General features: G+C 40.9%; 2 pseudogenes, besides 2 other annotated features; both read left to right on the top strand.

The window, feature by feature from the left end:
- NANOGP3 (Nanog homeobox pseudogene 3) lies at positions 3,245 to 3,527 on the top strand (annotated as a pseudogene).
- On the top strand, positions 6,376 to 6,689 carry RN7SKP256 (RN7SK pseudogene 256; annotated as a pseudogene).
- Positions 15,617 to 16,116: an enhancer, noted in NCBI's record as "H3K4me1 hESC enhancer chr6:53270665-53271164 (GRCh37/hg19 assembly coordinates)". NCBI's record gives its function as "activates a minimal SCP1, AML or CMV promoter by ChIP-STARR-seq in primed H9 embryonic stem cells {active_cell/tissue: H9 hESC(primed)}" and the evidence as "EXISTENCE:reporter gene assay evidence [ECO:0000049][PMID:30033119]".
- Positions 16,117 to 16,618: an enhancer, noted in NCBI's record as "H3K4me1 hESC enhancer chr6:53270163-53270664 (GRCh37/hg19 assembly coordinates)". NCBI's record gives its function as "activates a minimal SCP1, AML or CMV promoter by ChIP-STARR-seq in naive and primed H9 embryonic stem cells {active_cell/tissue: H9 hESC(naive and primed)}" and the evidence as "EXISTENCE:reporter gene assay evidence [ECO:0000049][PMID:30033119]".

The raw sequence follows: 23,631 nt of genomic DNA, 5'->3' as shown, positions 1-23,631 counted from the left end.
GTCAGGAGTTTGAGACCAGCCTGGCCAACATGGTGAAACCCCATCTCTACTAAAAATAGTAGGATGTGGTGGTGGGTGCCTGTAATCCCAGCTATTCAAGAATCTGAGACAGGAGAATCACTTGAACTCAAGAGGCAGAGGTTGCAGTAAGCCGAGATCATGCCATTGCACTCCAGCCTGGGTGACAGAGCGAGACTCTGTCTCAAAAAAAAAAAAAAAAAAAAAAAGACAACCCAATTAAAAAGTGGGCAAAGGATTTGACAGGAATTCTTCAAAGAAGACATACAAATGGCCAAAAGACTCATGAAAAGATGTTCCACATCATTAGTCGTTAGGAAAATGCAAATCAAAACCACAATGAGAAGTCACTTCATACCCACTGGGATGGCTATAATAAAAATAATAATAATTTTTGATGACAAGTATGTGGAGAAAATGGAACCCTCGTATATTGTTGGTGGGAATGTAAAGTGGTGTAGAACTGTGGAAAACTGTTTGGGAGTTCCTCAAAACGCTAAACATATTACTACTTAATACATGACCCAGAAATTTTACTTCTAGGTATATAATCAAAAGAAAAGAAAACATATGTCAACAGAAACTTGTACATGTACAAGAAGTTTTTCTACAAGTTTTTGTACATGGTTTTGTACAGGTTTTTGTACAAAGTTTTGTACAAGTTTTTGTAGGACAAGTCTAACTTGTACATGAATGTTTATAGCAGCATTATTTATAATAGGAAAAAGTAGAAGCAACCCTAATGTTTATCAGTTGGTAAATTGATAAACGAGATATGGTATATTCATACAAGGGAATATTAGCCATAAGAAGGCATGAAGTACTAATACATGCTACAATACGGATAAACCTTGAAAACATTGTTCTAAAGTACAGCAGACACAAAAGGCCACATATTGTATGATTCCATTTATATGAAATGTCCAGAATAGGCAAATCCATACAGACAAAAAGTAGATTAGTGATTAATCCATTAGCCAATAGATGGGGGAAGAGGTGATAGAGAATAACTGCTGACAGAGGTTTCTTCTTGAGATGATGGAAATGTGCAGGAATTAGATGGTGGTGCTATGAATATAGAAAAAAACATTAAATTATGTACTTTCAAATGGTGAACTGTATGTTATATAAATTATATTTTATTAAAACATTGCAAAAAAAATTAACAGAGAAGGGGGTAGGGGAGACAATTAACACAAAACAGCTGCTACATTCCTTAATTCTCTAACCAGTTACAAATTCTAATTTGAGAATCATGACTTTTTTCTTCCACTACCCATTCCACGTTCCCCTTATCCTCTGCTAAAACCTTAGCTGGATGGGGTTCTTTACCTGATAGGGTGACCCAAACCCCCTTCCTGTCATACCTCAGTCTTTGGGGCGTTTACTGATTGCTATAGTGAATCCCCTGGGTTTCAAACACCTTACCTGGTAAGGTAACAACTCATTTTCTCATTATTAATTGGTTTCTATCATGCGTCCGTAAGAGTCACCCCTTTAGCTCCCTCTAGGTTAAGTAGCACAAGAGCCAAAAACGGCCAAACAGCGGGGCTCAATTTTCCATTTAACAGGACTGCCTGACTGTTAAGCATGGAAAAGCATTCCTTCCTTGGGCACTTGGACCCCCAAACCCACCAAATCCATGGTTATGAAGATTAAAGGGAGAAGTTCTGGAAGTGTATTGAAAGGAATAATAATGAAAGGGGCCCTTCCTACCTTACCTTTTTGTTCTCGAACCCTTGGATCCTGACTATAAGGCAGTCACCACTGTAGAATTAAGGCGTGTATGTACTGCATCCTCTAGAACAGCACCTCAAATTTTAGTAGGTCTTTCCATCATTCTTTCAAGCTAGCTACTTCTGAGGGATGAGACATGCAGTTAGACCAACATGTTCTGAGAGCGTAAGCCCATTGTTGCACATCTTGGCCATGAAATGTGCCTCTGGTCAAGGCAAATGCTGAGTGGGACACCACAATAAAAGATAAACCTTTAAGTCAACAAATGCTGGAAGAAGCGTCATAAGAACAGAAAGTAAATCCATAATCTGAATATGTGTGTATTCATTAAGAACCAGTTGATGCCACCTCCATGATAAGAGGATTCTGATGTAATCAACCTGACGTAGGGGCCTGGGTGATCCCTCCAGGGAATAATGCAACATTACAAGATCACCTTTGGCCTCTGCTATTGGTAGGTTAAGCACTCAAGCTGTGGTGGCCAGATCACCTGAGTGAGGGGACGTCCACGGCCTCCATCCCCGTTGCCATGGTCGCATGGCACCCTTTCCCACTGGGCAAGCACCAGAATAACTGGAAAGAGAAGCTAACTGACATGCATGATGGGGATTGTCTTGTCCATCTGATTACTGGGAAACTCCTCTGCAGTGCTTGACCTTTGGTGAGCACTCACAGGGATCAAAAAACACACTCTGTGCCCATTCAATCTACATACCTCTCCCCCAGGTTTCTTTGCTCCTAGTCTTCCAGTCTCATTCTTTCTCTGAAAAGTGGGCCAGTACATTAGCCATTACCCAAAAATTAGCACTGATCCATACATCAGGCCATTTCTTTTTCCATGCAAAGTGGACAACTAAATGTGCCACCTGAAGTTTTGTCCTTTGGGAAAATATCCCTTCACTACACTTTCTTGGCCATCTGTAAGTGAGGCTGAAATGCAACAGCCATCTGCATCTGCTGGTGCCTGCACACCAAAAAGGCCCATATATAACCAGGCGTGCAGCTTTTTTTCCTCTGTTAACTGTTCATAAGGAATACCAGCTGGACTGAACTGATTGCCTCCCATTACAGAGGCAACTCACTTCATCCCAACTTCTTGATACTTTTACTTCAGGAGGTCATATTTCTCTCAGATCTTCCAGAAAAAAAGTCCTAAAGCCTTAGACTTTTTTTTAATAGTCCAGCTCTTTAATAGTCCAGCTCATCTTTCTGAGTAGCTGGGACTACAGGCAAGTGCCACCATACATGGCTAATTTTTGTATTTTTTTTGTAGAGACGGGGTCTCGCCATATTGCCCAGGCTGGTCTTGAACTCCTGAGCTCAAGTGATCTGCCCACTTTGGCCTCCTAAAGTGCTGCGATTACAGGCTATTTCTCTCTGTAAATGTCTGGAGCTGGCAGTCCAAGGCTGAGGGCAAGTGCTGTGCTCCATAACACGCTCAGGGAGTCAGTCTTTAATAGTCCAGTTTTCCTCCTCTTTCCCAATAATAACAGAAATATCTCAGCCTCCAGCAGATGCAAGAACTTTCCAATATCCTGAGCCTTAGCTACAAACAGGTTAAGACCTGGTTCCAGAACCAGAGAATGAAATCTAAGAGGTGTCAGGAAAACAACCAGCCAAAGGGTAGCAATGGTGTGACTCAGAAGGCCTCAGCACCTACTTACCTCTACTATTCCTACTGATGCTTGGTGAACACGACTGAGAACCTTCCAATGTGGAGCAACAAGATCTGGAGCAATCCAACATGTAGCAACCAGACCTGGAATCCAGTCATAAATAAATAACAGAATACTGGTCATGGGTGAGGAGAGGCAATGCTAACTGGAGCCAGTAAATTTGCTACATCCAGACTGTCAGCTGAGATGGCATTACCTCCTGAATAGATTTGAAATAATCTACAGTCATTCTCCAAATCTTGTGGCTGTCACGTTATCCAAACAGATGAGTTAAAGGAGGACATGATAGAAATCACCCACTACATATTTTTTTGTCTTTGATTGAGTCATTGATCTTTGTAATTCCCCCAGGAGTATGGTGTTGATTTTGGTTTCCTATCTTGGCTTGGAGGTCAGGATGGGGGCAGTTCCAGGAGCTTGTATTTAACCCATCCAACATAATAGCATCCCTCCATGGGTCAGGGAGCCGTTATAGGGGTTCATTGATTTACTGAGTATACCTGTTACCACTCTACAATCTGAGACAAGAGAAACTAGCACAGGGATCTTACTAGACCCGCTCTATGATGGACTTAAAACAAGACTTCATCTATCACCCAACTTCCATACATCCTTTATTTGCAGGTGGACAATAACAGTATTTGGGTCTCTAGACCTTAACATCATTTTTTTTAAATTTTTTATTTATTTGTGAGAGGATTTCACTCTGTTGTCCCAGCTGGAGTGCAGTGGCATGAGCATAGCTCACTGTAACCTCAAACTCCTGTGCTCAGGTAGTCCTCTAGCCTCGGCCTACCAAAGTCCTGGGATTACATGCATGAGGTACTGCACACAGCTAACGTAACTTTAGAGCCAATATCTAGTAATTCCAGGAGAGTATGGGTATAAACTTTTTCCATTGTATAGTCACCCTGGTAAAGGATTTTAAGTTCCTCTACGGAAGGTTTGTTGTCCCATTGCAGAGTCCTTCCTCAATAGGCCCTTCCTCCTCCTCAATCAAGGGGCTCCCAAGCCAATGTACTGTCTTAGATCTGGGAAATGCACAAGAGACCAGGTCAGATTTTTGCCTACCTTTCCTAGAGTTTTTCCTACTTATCAGATCAAGCAGTACCTTAAAAATCTGCCTATTTCTTATTTCTAAGGACCCCATGATCAATAGGCCACCTTCACAGATTCCTGCAGGTCAAAACTTCTTATTTCTACTCAGGAGTCCTTGTGGCTTATTAGAGAAATGCACTCTCCTTGTCTTGCTGCCGCCTGGCTTCCACCACTCCAGGATTCTATTATTGCCACTGAAATCAAATCAGGAAACTAACTCCACTGCAGAGTCTCCTACCTTCATTCCAGCCCAGAGAAAACAGTCACAGAACTTTTCAAGGATGCTGGTGCTCTTTTCCTTTCACTAATGTATTTCCTAATGTCTTAGGATGAAAGACCTCCAGACCTCCCTGATGTACTGGTATCAGGTGGCTTAGCAGCTTGCATGCAGTCTATCTCAGCATTTCTCTCTTCCTAAGGCTTTGGTCTGCTACCTATACAGTATTCCAAGGACATTCCAGTATATCAACCTCAGTGATTGCATGTCACCATTGAGCCCAGACTTGAAGAGGTGAGGTAGGGTTGCAGATATTGCCAGAACCCTGCCCAATAGGAGCTGTGGCCTTTGGGAAAGAAACAAAGCCAGCACCAGTCTGAGGCTTAGGCGAGAAAGAGCCAGGGAACTCCCTGCCTTACCAATGGAAGGCAGAGGAAAATGGAGCCCAGTTGATTCATTCGTTAGTGGGTAGCCTTCTAGCAAACAAAATAAGGCAGAGATGGCAAACAGTGAATTTGGAGGGAAAAACAACAATATCCAACATACATGTCAATGTATAAAAAATTTCCCTTTTCTCCCAGCTGCATAGAATTGTATTGTATGGACATACTATGATTGACATGTAACCAGTCCTCTGCTGATGGATATTGAGGTTGTTTCCAATCTCGTCATTATGAATAGCACTGTAATGAATAAACTTGCACATGTGATTGCTTTTATCGTGGTAAAATATATATATAATAAAATGTGCATTTTAATCATGTTTAAGTGTGCATTCAGTGGTTAAGTACATTCACATTGTCATGCAACCACCACCCCATCCATCTTCAGACTCTTTTTCACCCCAAGATGAAAGTGTATGCCAATTATACAATACCTCCCCATTTTTCCTCCCTACAGCTCCTCGCAGTGAGAATCCTACTTTCTGCCTCTATGAATTTAACTACTCTAGATACTTCATATAAGTGAGAGAATACAATATTTTTGTTTGTGTTGGCTTATTACACTTAGTCACTTATTTATAAACCATTTATAGCTTATTTCACTCAGTCAAAATTTATCCATGTTGTACTATGTATCAAAATTTCATTCCTTTTCAAAGTTGAGTAATATTCCTGTGTATGTATGCATTCAGGGTATTTTCCTATATGTTAACATACTGTATAATAGAAATGGAATTACTAGATTCAAGGACACATATATCTGTAATTTCTATGTCTATCACCATATTGCATACCTTCCCATCCCATTGAAGGATAAGGACTAGTTTACACTCATATTAGCAAAGCGTAAGAGTATCTAATTCCACCGGACATGGTGGCTCATACCTGTAATCCCAACTACTTGGGAGGCTGAGGTGGGAGGATTGCTTGAGGCCAGGAGTTCAAAAGGGCTGGTACAATGTGCTTGACCCTCACTGGGGTCCCCGACTTTCTGCCTGGGGGCCTGTCAATAGGTAGCCAGTCAGTGCCTTCTCAGTAGCCGCTGGGGTAGGATCCCTCTTTTAGATGACCGAGTTATTCTGTTCCTCTCTTCCTAAGGTCCTTTGTCTTGATTTTCATTTCTGACCAGAAAAACACATGGCAACCCAGTTTATTGATGCTAAAGCTGACATCAGCCTTCAGGTGAGGGAAGGAGTGTGATTTGACAGCAGCATCTGTCATTCCATTGATCACCAGAATTGATACTGCCCATCTGGCTGATGAGGTGCTATCATCTTTCTCATCACCACTCATCATCTTTCTGAAGCTGTACATTCAGTTGAAGAGGAGTTAACCTTGACAGGATAACCACATCTTAACTGCGATCACAGACAGCCCTGGTAGAGCAGTAATTTCATATCCCATGTTTCCAAAACTTTCTTGATAATAAGAATTACTTGGGATGTTTGTTAAAAATCCAGCTTGCCAGGCCACCTTCCAGGAGATTCTGCATTAGTCGGTCACAGAGGGTAAACAATGTGTTCAAGTCATGCAACTGGCTAATGGCAGAGCCAGGCCCATGTGATTCCAAAATCCCTCTCTTACACTACTTACAAACTACATATTTTGGGCAAGTAATTTAGTAATAATAACTGCCATTTACAGAGGACTTTACAGTTTATGAAACAATTGTATACACATCACTGTTTAAATCTTGTGACCCTATGAAGTTGATGGAATTGCTCCCATTTTGTAAAGGCTCCAAAAAGTCCAGTGGTTTGCTTAAGGCAGGGGTCACATATTCAAATACCTATAGAGATCAGTCCATTTCATCCATTTTCAATCGTTGATTCACTCATTTATCTATTCAACAATTAAGCATTCATTCATTCATCCATCTAAAAGGTATTTATTGATGGCTAGGGACACAACAGTGAATGGAATAAAATCTCTTTGCACTCGTGGAGTTTACATTCCAGAAAGGAAGACAAACAGTAAGTGCATAAGGAAGAAATAGATAAGATAACTTTAGATTGTGATAAGTGCTCTGAAAGCAATCAAACAGGCCTTCTGAGTAGAGAAGGGGGCTGCCTTGCTTGAGGGTTGTCCAGCATGGTAGCCATTCACCTACATCTGTCTATGGAGCATTTGAAATGTGGCCGGTCCAAGAGAAGATGTGTTGTTAAGCATAAAATACACGTTGGAGGCCAGGCGTGGTGGCCTGTAATCCCAGCACTTTGGGAGGTCAAGGCGGGTGGATCACCTAAGGTCAGGAGTTCAAGACCAGCCCGACAAATATGGTGAAACCCTGTCTCTACTAAAAATACAAAAATTATCCAGGTGTGTTGGCATGCACCTGTATTCCCAGCTACTCAGGAGGCTGAGACAGGAGAATTACTTGAACTCAGGAGGTGGAGGTTGCAGTGAGCTGAGATTGCACCACTGCACCCAAGCCTGAGTGATACAGTGAAACTCCATCTCAAAAAAACAAAACAAAACAAACAAACAAAAAAAAAACCGTGTTGGATTTTGAAGATTTTTCAAGATTTAGTATACAAAAACAAGAATGTAAGATATCCCAATTATAACTTTTTTATTGATTACGTGTTGAAATAACATTTTAGACATAATGGATTAAATAAAATGGATAAATAAAATCAATTTTTCATGTTTCCTTTTGCCTTTTCTTAATGTGGCTACCAGAAAATTTAAACCTTCATAGTGGCTCACATTTGTGATTCATATGATATGGTTTTTGGGTGGCACTTATCTAGGGTGAGCAAGGAGAGCTTCTCAGAAGAGGTGACATTTGAGTTGAGACCTGAATGATGAGATGGATGTTAACTATAAGAAGATCTGAGAGAAGAGTTCTCCAGGAAGAAGGAATCACAGGGGAAATTGGCCTAATAATAATTGTGAATCATGGTTCATGAGACAATAGGGAATAGTGGAGCCTCCAGAGAACTACAGAGTGCATCCCACTAAAATTATTTAAATTCGAAATGTGTCAACACTACAAAAGACAACAAAGTGAGGGCCTGTGTTGTTTTTGACCTTGAGCAGGAGTTTGTCAGCCTGGTCTTAGGTTACCTGTCCCCAACCCTTGCAAGGAGTAGAAGTCCTAGACCAGTGAAAGCCAAGTCAGCTTCATCAACTTGGCTGAGCAGCCCAGGCAACATGTGTCCCTGCCAAGTCGCCCTCACAACAAATCACATAGCCAGAAAATATGTGGATAATTTTTGTTCTGATTCCAAATCACTTGTTCTTTCCACTTATCCTGTTTTGAACAATAGCCCCCTGTGAGAACCTGATGAAAACTATGAATAAATCCTCCACCCGTTACCACTACCACCACAATATACTCACAAGCCTACTGTACATAATTCCACGGGGCTCAGAGGTCCCCGTCCAAACCCTGTCCAAGCATCCCAGAATAATAAGCTCTGCAGTATAGTTCATTGGCTCCCCTCTATGCACCAAAACCATAACATGGAGAGAATAAGATCAGTTTTCTTTATGTCATTGAAATTCTGTGAAGATGAAAGGAGATGGCATTGGTGAAACTGCTATATGAATGGAGGGCATTACTGTTAAATTCAGACAGGGTTTAAGGGCCTATAATGTCAGTGCTCATGCCTTAGAGGGAATCGTTTTAACTGAAGACCTAATCAGAGATTTACCAAGAAACCAAACAGCCCAAGTAGTTTTCAAGTGATATAAGAAATGTTTGAAAACCTATTCTAGAAAAGTGTTTCTCAATATTGGCTGCATGTTGGATTTACATAGAGAACTTTTTAAAATTCAGATGAAATAGCACAACCCCAACTCAGGGGATTGGGCAATATCTAGAAAATTTGCACAAGACTTTTGACCTAGCAATCCCACTTCCAGAACTCAATATCAGAGATACGATGGTACATTTCCCAAGGGAAGTGAGCACAAGGCTATTTATTGCTGTGCTATTTCCAACAGTAAATGCCCAGAAACAACCCAAGTATCCAGAGAGGAAAGAATTAATTTGCCCAAGACAAACCCTGTGCAGGCTAGTCTCCCAGAAAAGGAAAGGGCCTCTTGTGAAGCTCCCTGGAAACCACTGTGACCCTGTGCTTAAGACAATCAATTCTGGTTGACTTAGATTCCAGAATCTCCCTCACCCCCATGATGCTAGTGCTGGGGCTGGAAGTCCTTCAGTCCTGAAAATGCACATGGAAAATCTTGCCACTCATATGCTACCTAATAAAAGAGCTGAAATTGTTAGGCTTGGACGCCAGCCCTCTGATTGCACTATGAGAGGGGGTGGTGATTCTCCCAACCTGGAAACTGATCTGACAGGATAGGACCAGAGACCAGGTGATACCACCCCACATTGCTGTGGCACCCAGGTGTGATCATGGGGGATGGGCCAATACTTCATCTTAAATGCCTCACAACACAAGGATGAGGATGTCTTGTGTTTAGTTCTGTCTAGGATGGACAATGGGACACCAACCCTGTGTCCATGAATGTTTTCTCATGGATCTTGTGCTAGTAAGCCTGACATAACTCTACGTAGCCAATTTATCCATTTTTGCACTCAACTAGTGCAGTGAGCTGGGCATCTGGCCAAGCAGCCACCATACGTTTCTGGAAGGAAATCGCCACAGTTTGAATGTGTCCCCTGCAAAGTTTGTGTTTTGGAAACTTAATCCCCAATGCAACAGTGTTGAGAGGTGGGAGCTTTAAGAGGTTATTAGGGTCATGAGGGCTCTACCCTCATGAACGGACTATTGTTATTGTGGGAGAGGGTTCCTAATAAAAGAATAAATTCAGCTCCCCTTCCCCTCTTCCTTCTCTCCCTCTCACCTTTCTGCCTTCCACCATAGGATGACACAACAAGAAGGCCCTGGCCAATTGCAGTCTTCTCTATCTTGGACATTCCAGCCTCCACAACTATAAGAAGGAAATAAACCTCTGTTCTTTATAAGTTATCCAGTCTCAGTATCCTAATAGAGCAGCACAAAATGGATTAAAGTAGTAATCAACAGATCAGAGATCAAAGTCCAACTAGGTAGCAGGACAAATCCTCTTGGAGCAACATGGCCAGCTGTTGGGATAGTTAATCACTAATTGCTCATGGAAATCCCATAAAGTCTTCAGCAGCAAGAGACCCAGGGAGTAAGGCCTCCTGGAATAGAATTCCTTTGTTGTTATTAATGACCTGGCAGGAGTTTCCCAGGAAGGGGTAGCTTCATTGACGAGAAGGCTGAACCGGCACCCATGATAACAGTACAACCTCCTTGTGATGACTAAAGAATTTTCACTTCAGCCTGACCACTTGCTACTCAAGATACAGGAATGTTAGAGGCAGGCAAAGAACATCCTAAAGACTGAGATAAGGCAGATCCCAAAATTTTTACTACTTTTAGAATAAAATTGTAAAATAGGTAAGATGAAACAAATGAAGCTAAACATATTTTACTTAGATCCATTATCTCATTAAAAGTTACAAAATGGCTATAATCGAATTATTTTATTCCTTTTTCATTTATTAGTTAGAATTTTTCTATAAAGAACTTTTCTTCATCCACTCCTTGTATATCTTGAGGTACAGTTCATACGAGAAAGACAGAGAAATTCTAGGCTTATCTCCTTTCCTGCTCCAGACTTGGACTGTTCATTTCTCCAAGGAGCTTGGGGATTTTTTTGGTGAGAAGCAATGTTTAGAGACTACAGTCTGGGCTTAAAGGTGCCATTGCTCCCAAATTGATTATTTTGTATAAGCCTTTTCTGTGAACAGTTAAGAAATATGAAGTTTTTTAGAGGAGAAAATGCAGACAGTCCCCGACTTGGTTCTCAGCTTTACAATGGTGCAAATGCTATACGCATTCAGTAGGAACTGTCTTTGAATTTTGAATTTTGATCTTTTTCCTGCGAGCAATATGTAGTACAATTCTCACTCGCAATGCTGGGTGGCGGCAGTGAGCCACAGCTCCCAGCCAACCACATGGTCACAGGGGTAAACAGCCGATACTCTACAGTGTACTACTGTGTTGCCAGCATTTTTTGAATATTGAGTCTTGTGTTTCCACATCTTACCATGTCTACAAAATGCCCATCCGTGTTCTCCTGCTTCTGATAAGAAGAGGAAGGCAAATTACTTCTGAGTTTCTCAAGATAAAACTCAAGAGTAATTGCCCAGCATGAACGTGACAAGCCAGTAATAGCCACTGCATTTGAATTAGGACTTTCACATCCACAATCTCAACCATCTCAAAGGATAAGAAGTGAATCAGTGATGCAGTGAAATCATCCATATTGGTTAAATTCACTGTTGTTAGGAAGAAAAGAGCTGCGCCAACTGATGATATGAAAAAATACTTGTCACATGGATGGAAGACCAGATACAGAAGTATCAGATATAGTTTAAGTACCACTTAAACCGCAGACAATCCAGGCTAAGGCAAGAATTTTTTTATTTATTTATTTTTTTTTGAGACAGAGTCTTGCTCTGTCACCAGGCTGGAGTGAAGTGGCGCGATCTCAGCTCACTGCAACCTCTGCCTCCCAGGTTCAAGCCATTCTCCTGCCTCAGCCTCCCGAGTAGCTAGGATTACAGGTGCCCACCACCATGCCCAGCTAATTTTTGTATTTTTAGCAGACATGGGATTTCACCATTTTAGCCAGGATGGTCTCGATCTCCTGACCTCGTGATCCACCCGCCTCAGCTTCCCAAAGTGCTGGGATTACAGGGGTGAGCCACCGCACCCGGCCTCTACTCTTTTTTATACACTAAAAAACATTCTGATGATCCCACCTATATGCAAATATTTATAGCAAGTCATGGGCTGTTCCAGTGCTTCAAATGGCTCATAATTTTCATAATGTGAAGATCAGCAGTGAGGCAGCAAATGCCATATTGAATGTCTTAAAGCTTTAAAAAAGAAAAGAAAAGAAAAAAAGAGCTGCATAGGATAATTGTGGATGAGAAATATTTACCAGAACAAATGTTTAATGCCAATGAAACAAACTTTTTCTGAAGTTTGTTTCAGAAACAGAATGTTTGTATGCTGGAGCATACATACATTCATCGCACATCCAAGACAATGCCAAGATTCAAGGCATACAAAGACCATGTAATGCTGCTTTTGCCTGGAAATGTTTCAGAGTTCAAATTAAAGCATTTTCTAATCTACAACTTGGAGAACCCTATAGCATTCAAGAATGTGAACAGGCAAATACTTCCATTTCTTCTCATCATTAAAGAAAGCCTGGATGACCGGTTTTCTTTAAAAAAAAAAAAAAAAAAAAAAAAAAAAAAAAAAACTTGTGAAGAAGAGAAAAATGAGTAAGGAGGAATCTCTAGATTAAAAGAAATGTAAGAGGCGTGTTAACGAAATGCAGTGTATGGATACTACTTAGACCTAATTCAAATAAAACGGCAGCAAAAACTTTTCATAAGATAATTGAAGTCTGGGTGCGGTGGCTCGCACCTGTAATCCCAACACTTTGGGAGGCTGAGGCAGGCGGATCATTTGAGGTCAGGAGTTGGAGACCAGCCTGGCCAACATGGTGAAACTCCATCTCTACTAAAAATACAAAAATTAGCCAGGTGTGATGGCACACCCCTGTAATCCCAGCTACTCAGGAGGCTGAGGCAGGAAAATCACTTGAACCCAGGAGGCAGAGGTTGCAATGAGCAGAGATCACACCACTGCACTCCAGCTGGGCCACAGAGCAAGACTTGGTCTCAAAAAAAAAAAAAAAAAAAAAGACTATTGAGGAAATTTGACAACTGGCAGGTTATTGATGATGTAAGCAATTTTATTTATTGTTTTAGGTATGATCAAGATATTGTGTTTTGAAAACAATTTCTAAAGCTATATATCAAAGAAATAAAAAATGAGATTATATACTTTTTAAATTATTTTATTCCATAAAATAATTTAATAGTTGGAGTGAGGGAGGGAAGTTATAAAAGAAATAAGATTGGTCATGATTTGATAATTGTTTCATCTGGGTGACATGTACATGGGGGAGAGGCCATCATTATACTGTTTTATCTTTATATACACTTGAATTTTAGTAAAAAGGTCTTTAAAAACTTCTAGTGTTGAAACTCTACTCCAGGGATTTGGATTTAATAGGTCTAGCGTGGGGCCCAGGCACTAGGATGTTTTTAAAGTTCCAGGTGATTCTAGAGTGCAGCTGGCATTGAGAACTGCTATTCCAAGCTGAATTTCTTAAGAACAAGAGCTGTATCTTGGTCATTTTTACATCTCAAGCACATTCAACAGTACTAGGCACATAGTAAGGTCCCAGTAAAGTTGAATGTTTAATGAAATTGTAAGGACAGAACTCCAGGACAATGAGAAAAAGACTGAAGAAAAATTATGGCCTCAAATGAAGACCAGGTTAAACAAATTGAGAATCTGTGGCCTGCCTGAAGGCTCTCTGCACCACCTTCTCTCCCCTCTCTCTGTGCTGCCCAATCTCCTCCTTCAATCAAGGGAGAAATTGTCTTTATTTTAGGTCTACTTTATTCACCCTCCAGACAGGCTGGATAAATTCTAATAAACAAGTTTCAGGGGCAAAAAGCATCAGAAATAAGTCTGTTATATGAAAAAAGGTCTTAAGACATCTTTTCTATTTTTAACTTACTGTCTTCCTAGAGTCCAAGGTACCAGAATCAACGAAATTCACTGTTAACTAGCCAACAGATCTGTCATTTTTGCAGGAGTAGACTGAAGAGCAAGAATTATGGAGCTAGGCTTTAAACCCACAGAAGCCTTTCCAGAGAACTGGCATTTCTTTCACTTTGCACCTGTCCATCCAGGGCTGCATCTGCTACCACTTGGCACCTTAGGGGGACAGCCAGATGCAGGTGACTAATGACTGCTGGCAGGGACATCTGAAGCCAGGTCCCTTCCTTTTCAGATAGTTTTTTTTTCCAGCTGCCTGCTGGACATCCCACAACCATTTCAGACTCATCCAAAAGTGACTTCATCATTTTTTCCACCAAATCTGCACATCTTCTCACATTATCTAGCTCTAAGATGGCACCTCCACACACCCAACCCAGAAAACCATGTTACCCTCACTCCTCTCCCTTCCTCAAAACAAGACACTGAATCAATTGTCAGGTCCTGCTGGTTTTATTGCCTGTATATTTCCCAACTCCATGCCCACTTCTATTTTAGTTCAGGTTTTATTCTACATCTATTTGCAGATGTTTCTGCAAATCTGTCCTCCACATTATTACCAGAATAATCTACCTAAAATGATAACGTGTCCGTGTTACTTCCTTGCATAGATCCTTCAGTGGAACTCCTGTATTCTCCAGATTAAGTATAAACTTCTTAACGCAAGGCTCTCTGTGATCTGGTCTTTGCCTACTTACACAGTCTCATCTCTCACCACTTCTACTAGGCACTTTACATGCCAGAATATAAAAATATTTGCAGATCCTCATACACATCATGTTGTTCCTTGCTCTTGTGGTTTTGATAGAATGGTTCCTCAGCCTGTAATGTCCTTCCCCTCTGATCTCTCTTCCTCTCCTCAATCTTCACGACCTCACCCACACCTTCCTCCTCCCGTAAATCCCAGCCCAGCCACCTTATAGAAAGTCTTTGCTCATCAGAACACACACACATAGATATACATATATATCACCCAAGCTGGGTCCTGTGTCCTTCCAGATGTTTCCATAATACGCTGGGCATATTTCTATCACTGCAATTATGATAATTCAATTGATTCTCCAGTCATTTGTTTGTACATCTACCCTTTGCATTAGATGAGGAGCCCTTTGAGGGCCAGGGCTGTGTCTTAGTGCTCCTGATATCTCCAGGGCCTGCCCCACTTCTTGGCATCCAACAAGCACCACATTTTTGTTCTGAATGAATGAAGGTGGGTAGGATTAGGGCAAAGTATGCATGCCAGTGAGGAAAGTATTGCAACTGAATGATGAAACCCTGGATTAATGCAGGAGAAACAGGAAAGGAGACAAAGAGAAAAGACTAGGTGAATTTAGGAATCAACTCAATAGACTCTGTAGCAGAGGAAGAGATCAAATGGTGTCTTTCATTGGTGGCTGGGGAGATGGAAATACGGAAAGAGATGGATTTTGGGGGAGTGGGGACAAAACAGTGAGCTCTGTTTTGAACATGTTTAATCTGAGATATCTGAGAAACAGCTAGTCTGAGAGATGGGAGTTGTCAATATTGAATGGTATTGAAGCCGTGAACATGAATTAGTTTGCCCAGAAAAAGTATAAAGACTGAGGATAAAAGACCATCAGTTGTTTTTGATCTTCATTTTAAATCTTCTGTTCTCCCCACTTTTAATGTTCTCCTTGATATTCATTTTAATCTGATTTCATTTGTACCAAAACTGATGTGTACTAGAAGGAAGAAGAATTCAGTGTGATTTGCCTATCTGTATTCACCAGGGATAGTTTAACAAAGGGACATCTCCTGAGACAAATGTTTCAAGAATGAGATCAGACAGCAGAACTTTGTGTTTGCAAAGGAAGACAGGTAGTCCTTTACAGACATTATCTTGGATGGCTGATATTAAGAGTCCTGAAATTAAAAACAATAATTATTCGGGGACAGGAGCCAAGAAGGCCGAATAGGAACAGCTCCAGTCTACAGCTCCCAGTGTGAGCGACGCAGAAGATGGGTGATTTCTGCATTTCCATCTGAGATACCGGGTTCATCTCACTAGGGAGTGCCAGACAGTGGGCGCAGGCCAGTGGGTGCAGCACACTGTGCACGAGCCCAAGCAGGGCGAGGCATTTCCTCACTCGGGAAGCGCAAGGGGTCAGGGAGTTCCCTTTCCTAGTCAAAGAAAGGGGTGACAGACGGCACCTGGAAAATCGGGTCACTCCCACCCCAATACTGCGCTTTTCCAACGGGCTTAAAAAACGGCACACTAGGAGATTATATCCCACACCTGGCTCAGAGGGTCCTACGCCCACGGAGTCTCCCTGATTGCTAGCACAGCAGTCTGAGATCAAACTGCAAGGCAGCAGCGAGGCTGGGGGAGGGGAGCCCACCATTGCCCAGGCTTGCTTAGGTAAACAAAGCAGCCCAGAAGCTCCAACTGGGTGGAGCCCACCACAGCTCAAGGAGGCCTGCCTGCCTCTATAGGCTCCACCTCTGGGGGCAGGGCACAGACAAACAAAAAGACAGCAGTAACCTCTGCAGACTTAAATGTCCCTGTCTGACAGCTTTGAAGAGAGCAGTGGTTCTCCCAGCACGCAGCTGGAGATCTGAGAATGGGCAGACTGCCTCCTCTAGTGGGTCCCTGACGCCTGACCCCCGAGCAGCCTAACTAGGAGGTACCCCCCAGTAGGGGCAGACTGACACCTCACACGGCCGGGTACTCCTCTGAGACAAAACTTCCAGAGGAACGATCAGACAGCAGCATTCGCGGTTCACGAAAATCCGCTGTTCTGCAGCCACCGCTGCTGGTACCCAGGCAAACAGGGTCTGGAGTGGACCTCTAGCAAACTTCAACAGACCTGCAGCTGAGGGTCCTGTCTGTTAGAAGGAAAACTAACAAACAGAAAGGACATCCACACCAAAAACCCATCTGTACATCACCATCATCAAAGACCAAAAGTAGATAAAACCACAAAGATGGGGAAAAAACAGAGCAGAAAAACTGGAAGCTCTAAAAAGCAGAGCGCCCCTCCTCCTCCAAAGGAACACAGCTCCTCACCAGCAACGGAACAAAGCTGGACGGAGAATGACTTTGACGAGTTGAGAGAAGAAGGTTTCAGATGATCAAACTACTCCGAGCTACAGGAGGAAAGTCAAACCAAAGGCAAAGAAGTTGAAAACTTTGAAAAAAATTTAGACGAATGTATAACTAGAATAACCAATACAGAGCAGTGCTTAAAGGAGCTGAGGGAGCTGAAAGCCAAGGCTCGAGAACTACGTGAAGAATGCAGAAGCCTCAGGAACCGATGCGATCAACTGGAAGAAAGGGTATCAGTGATGGAAGATGAAATGAATGAAATGAAGCGAGAAGGGAAGTTTAGAGAAAAAAGAATAAAAAGAAATGAACAAAGCCTCCAAGAAATATGGGACTATGTGAAAAGACCAAATCTACGTCTGATTGGTGTACCTGAAAGTGATGGGGAGAATGGAACCAAGTTGGAAAACACTCTGCAGGATACTATCCAAGAGAACTTCCCCAATCTAGCAAGGCAGGCCAACATTCAGATTCAGGAAATACAGAGAATGCCACAAAGATACTCCTCGAGAAGAGCAACTCCAAGACACATAATTGTCAGATTCACCAAAGTTGAAATGAAGGAAAAAATGTTAAGGGCAGGCAGAGAGAAAGGTCGGGTTACCCACAAAGGGAAGCCCATCAGACTAACAGCGGATCTCTCGGCAGAAACTCTACAAGCCAGAAGAGAGTGGGGGCCAATATTCAACATTCTTAAAGAAAAGAATTTTCAACCCAGAATTTCCTATCCAGTCAAACTAAGCTTCATAAGTGAAGGAGAGATAAAATCCTTTACAGACAAGCAAATGCTGAGAGATTTTGTCACCACCAGGCCTGCCCTACAAGAGTTCCTGAAGGAAGCACTAAACATGGAAAGGAACAACCGGTACCAGCCACTGCAAAATCATGCCAGATTGTAAAGACCATTGAGACTAGGAAGAAACTGCATCAACTAACGAGCAAAATAACCAGTTAACATCACAATGACAGGATCAAATTCGCACATAACAATATTGACTTTAAATGTAAATGGACTAAATGCTCCAATTAAAAGACACAGACTGGAAAACTGGATAAAGAGTCAAGACCCATCAGTGTGCTGTATTCAGGAAACCCATCTCACGTGCAGAGACACACATAGGCTCAAAATAAAAGGATGGAGGAAGATCTACAAAGCAAATGGAAAACAAAAAAAGGTAGGGGTTGCAATCCTAGTCTCTGATAAAACAGACTTTAAACCAACAAAGATCAAAAGAGACAAAGAAGGCCATTACATAATGGTAAAGGGATCCATTCAACAAGAACAGCTAACTATCCTAAATATATATGCACCCAAAACAGGAGCACCCAGATTCATAAAGCAAGTCCTGAGTGACCTACAAAGAGACTTAGACTCCCACACAATAATAATGGGAGACTTTAACGCCCCAGTGTCAACATTAGACAGATCAATGAGACAGAAAGTTAACAAGGATACCCAGGAATTGAACTCAGCTCTGCACCAAGCGGACCTAATAGACATCTACAGAACTCTCCAGCCCAAATCAACAGAATATACATTCTTTTCAGCACCACACCACACCTATTCCAAAATTGACCACATAGTTGGAAGTAAAGCTCTCCTCAGCAAACGTAAAAGATCAGAAATTATAACAAACTGTCTCTCACACCACAGTGCAATCAAACTAGAACTCAGGATTCAGAAACTCACTCAAAACCGCTCAACTACATGGAAACTGAACAACCTGCTCCTGAATGACTACTGGGTACATAACGAAATGAAGGCAGAAATAAAGATGTTCTTTGAAACCAATGAGAACAAAGAAACATCATACCAGAATCTCTGAGACACACTTAAAGCAGTGTGTAGAGGGAAATTTATAGCACTAAATGCCCACAAGAGAAAGCAGGAAACATCTAAAATTGGCACCCTAACATCACAATTAAAAGATCTAGAGAAGCAAGAGCAAACACATTCAAAAGCTAGCAGAAGGCAAGAAATAACTAAGAGCAGAGCAGAACTGAAGGAGATAGAGGCACAAAAACCCCTTCAAAAAATCAATGAAACCAGCAGCTGGTTGTTTGAGAAGATCAACAAAATTGATAGACCACTAGCAAGACTAATAAAGAAGAAAAGAGGGAAGAATCAAATAGATGCAATAAAAAATGATAAAGGGGATATCACCACCGATCCCACAAAAACAGAAACTACCATCAGAGAATACTGTAAACACCTCTATGCAAATAAACTAGAAAATCTAGAAGAAATGGATAAATTCCTGAACACATACACCCTCCCAAGACTAAACCAGGAAGAAGTTGAAACCCTGAATAGACCAATTACAGGCTCGGAAATTGAGGCAATAATTAATATCCTACCAACCAAAAAAAGTCCAGGACCAGACGGATTCCAGCTGAATTCTACCAAAGGTAGAAGGAGGGGCTCGTACCATTCCTTCTGAAACTATTCCAATCAGCAGAAAGAGAGAGAATCCTCCCAAACTCATTTCATGAGGCCAGCATCATCTTTACACCAAAGCCTGGCAGAGACACAACAAAAAAAGAGAATTTTAGACCAATAGACCAATATCCCTGATGAACATTGATGCAAAAATCCTCTATAAAATACTGGGAAACTGAATCCAGCAGCACATCAGAAAGCCTATCCACCATGATCAAGTGGGCTTCATACCTGGGATGCATGGCTGGTTCAACATATGCAAATCAAAAAATGTAATCCAGCATATAAACAGAACCAAAGACAAAAACCACATGATTATCTCAATAGTTCCAGAAAAGGCCTTTGACAAAATTCAACAGCCCTTCATGCTAAAAACTCTCAATAAATTAGGTATTGATGGGACGTATCTCAAAATAGTAAGAGCTATCTATGACAAACCCACAGCCAATATTATACTGAATGCGCAAAAACTGGAAGCATTCCCTTTGAAAAGTGGCACAAGACAGGGATGCCCTCTCTCACCACTCCTATTCAACATAGTGTTGGAAATTCTGGCCAGGGCAATTAGGCAGGAGAAGGAAATAAAGGGTATTCAATTAGGAAAAGAGGAAGTCAAATTGTCCCTGTTTGCAGATGACATGATTGTATATTTAGAAAACCCCATTGTCTCAGCCCAAAATCTCCTTAAGCTGATAAGCAACTTCAGCAAAGTCTCAGGATACAAAATCAATGTACAAAAATCACAAGCATTCTTATAAACCAATAACAGACAAACAGAGAGCCAAATCATGAGTGAACTCCCATTCACAATTGCTTCAAAGAGAATAAAATACCTAGGAATCCAACTTACAAGGGATGTGAAGGACCTCTTCAAGGAGAACTACAAACCACTGCTCAAGGAAATAAAAGAGGATACAAAGAAATGGAAGAACATTCCATGCTCATGGGTAGGAAGAATCAATATCGTGAAAACGGCCATACTGCCCAAAGTAATTTATTGATTCAATGCCATCCCTATCAAGCTACCAATGACTTTCTTCACAGAATTGGAAAAAACTACTTTAAAGTTCATATGGAACCAAAAAAGAGCCCACATCACCAAGTCAATCCTAAGCCAAAAGAACAAAGCTGGAGGCATCATGCTACCTGACTTCAAACTATACTACAAGGCTACAGTAACCAAAACAGCATGGTACTGGTACCAAAACAGAGATATAGACCAATGGAACAGAACAGAGCCCTCAGAAATAATGCCACATATCTACAACTATCTGATCTTTGACAAACCTGAGAAAAACAAGAAATGGGGAAAGGATTCCCTATTTAATAAATGGTGCTGGGAAAGCTGGCTAGCCATATGTAGAAAGCTGAAACTGGATCCCTTCCTTACACCTTATACAAAAATTAATTCAAGATGGATTAAAGACTTACATGTTAGACCTAAAACCATAAAAACCCTAGAAGAAAACCTAGGCAATACCATTCAGGACATAGGCATGGGCAAGGACTTCATGTCTAAAACACCAAAAGCAATGGCAACAAAAGCCAAAATTGACAAATGGGATCTAATTAAACTAAAGAGCTTCTGCACAGCAAAAGAAACTACCATCAGAGTGAACAGGCAACCTACAGAATGGGAGAAAATTTTTGCAACCTACTCATCTGACAAAGGGCTAATACCCAGAATCTACAATGAACTCAAAGAAATTTACAAGAAAAAAACAAACAACCCCATCAAAAAGTGGGCAAAGTGGGCAAAGGATATGAACAGACACTCTCAAAAGAAGACATTCATACAGCCAAAAAACACATGAAAAAAAGCTCATCATCACTGGCCATCAGAGAAATGCAAATCAAAACCACAATGAGATACCATCTCACTCCAGTTAGAATGGTGATCATTAAAAAGTCAGGAAACAACAGGTGCTGGAGGGGATGTGGAGAAATAGGAACACTTTTACACTGTTGGTGGGACTGTAAACTAGTTCAACCATTGTGGATGTCACTGTGGCGATTCCTCAAGGATCTAGAACTAGAAATACCATTTCACCCAGCGATCCCATTACTGGGTATATACCCAAAGGATTATAAATCATGGTGCTGTAAAGACACATGCACACATATGTTTATTGCAGCACTATTCACAATAGCAAAGACTTGGAACCAAGCCAAATGTCCAACAATGATAGACTGGATTAAGAAAATGTGGCACATATACACCATGGAATACTATGCAGCCATAAAAAACGATGAGTCCATGTCCTTTGTAGGGACATGGATGAAGCTGGGAACCATCATTCTCAGCAAACTATCGCAAGGACAAAAAACCAAACACCGCATGTTCTCAGTCGTAGGTGGGAATTGAACAATGAGAACACATGGACACAGGAAGGGGAACATCACACACCGGGGACTGTTGTGGGGTGGGGGGAAGGGGGAGGGATAGCATTAGGAGATATACCTAATGCTAAATGACGAGTTAATGGGTGCAGCACACCAACATGGCACATGTATACATATGTAACAAACCTGCACGTTATGCACATGTACCCTAAAACTTAAAGTATAATAAAAAAAGAAAAGAAAAGAAAAAGCAGGAACTGGGAGATTGAGCCCACAAAACACTCTCATCCCCTAAAAGAAGTTCAGTGCTCATCAGCTGCTTCATTCTGTACTTCCACAATCTTTTCCCCATCTGTTTTCCCAACAGCTTAATATAGACATCTTTAAATATTTCCAAGGAGGGTGAATTGTTGCTTTGAAGTCTATCAAGACTTCATGCTTTTTTGTAGATATTGATAAACTGAGTCTAAAAGTTATATAGAAATGCAAAGGACCTAGAATAGCCAAAACAAAATCAAGTTAAAGGAATTGCACTACCTGACTTTAAGACTTACCACAAAGCTACAGTTAGTATATTATTGGCAAAGGGATAAACAGTACATCCAATAGGACAGAATAGAGCCTAGATGTAGAGCTACACGTATGCCGGAGTCGAATGATTTTTAAAAAGATATTAAGACACTCAATGGAGAAAGGAAAATCTTTTCAATATATGGTACTGAAATAAGTATCAAAATTAGGGCCCTGGTGGCGGTCGGGGGGAGAACTTTACCTCTATATTAAGCCACATGCAAAAATTAATTCTGGATGTATCATAAACGTAAATATAAGAGCTAAAACTATAAAGCTTCTAGAAGATAATATTTTAAAAATCTTCACAACCTTGTGTAGGCAATGGTTTCTTTAGAGAGAATGCAAGTATTAACCATAAAGGGAAATAATAAATTGTGACTTCATCAAAATTTAAAACTTTTATTCATCAAAAGACACTATTAAGATTAATAGACAAGTCAAAGTTCAGGAGAAAGTATTTACAACATATAAATCTGACAAAGGACTTTTGACTGGAATATATAAAGAACCCCTATAATGCAGCAATAAAAAGACAGCTCAGCTTTTAAATGAGCAAATATTTGAAAGGGCACTTCACAAAAGAAGATACATGAAAACCAGTGAGCACATGGAAAAGTGCTTAAGAGTATTAGTCACTGGGGAAAGGTAAATTAAAACTGCAGTAAGATGTCATTGCAAACTCACTAGAACGGTTAAAACATAAAAGATTAAAAACACCAATGTTCAGGAGGATGTGGAGCAAACAGAAATTTTGCCATTACTGGTGGAAATGTAAACTGTTTGGCACATTCTTAAAGAGTTAAAGGTATATCTGTCCTATGACCCAACAATTCTAATCCTAGTTTCCGAAGAAATGAAAACATTCATTCATTTCAAAAGAAATGAAAACATTCATTCATTTCAAAAGAAATGAAAACATTTGTCCAAATAAGCTCTGCATGAGAACGCTCATAGCAGTCTTACTCATCAGAGCCAAAGACTGGAAACAGCCCAGGTGTCCATGAATAGAATAAACTGTGGTATTTTCATACAATGCAATACTATTCAATAATGAAAAGAGACAAACTACTGATACATGTAAAAATCTGAATGAATCTCCGAAATTTTATACTGAGTGAAAAAAGTCAGATACAAAACAGTAATACTGTGTGATTTCAGATATATGAAGTTCTATAGCAGAAAAAAAACATCATGATGAAATCAGAATAGTGGTGGCTTCCAGAAGTGACAGGGATTGACTGGGAAGGGCGTGAGAGAACTTCTTAGTTGATGAAATACATCCGTATCTTGAGAGGGGTGTGAGCTGTATGGACATGTGCATTTGTTAACACTGGTTTAACTACACACCTAAGATCTCTTTATTTC

Source organism: Homo sapiens, chromosome 6, assembly GCF_000001405.40.
Source record: "Homo sapiens chromosome 6, GRCh38.p14 Primary Assembly".
In the NCBI taxonomy this organism is placed as follows: Eukaryota; Metazoa; Chordata; class Mammalia; order Primates; family Hominidae; genus Homo; species Homo sapiens.
The sequence above is the reverse complement of the archived record's forward strand: the minus strand, read 5'-3'. Positions and strand labels throughout refer to the sequence as shown.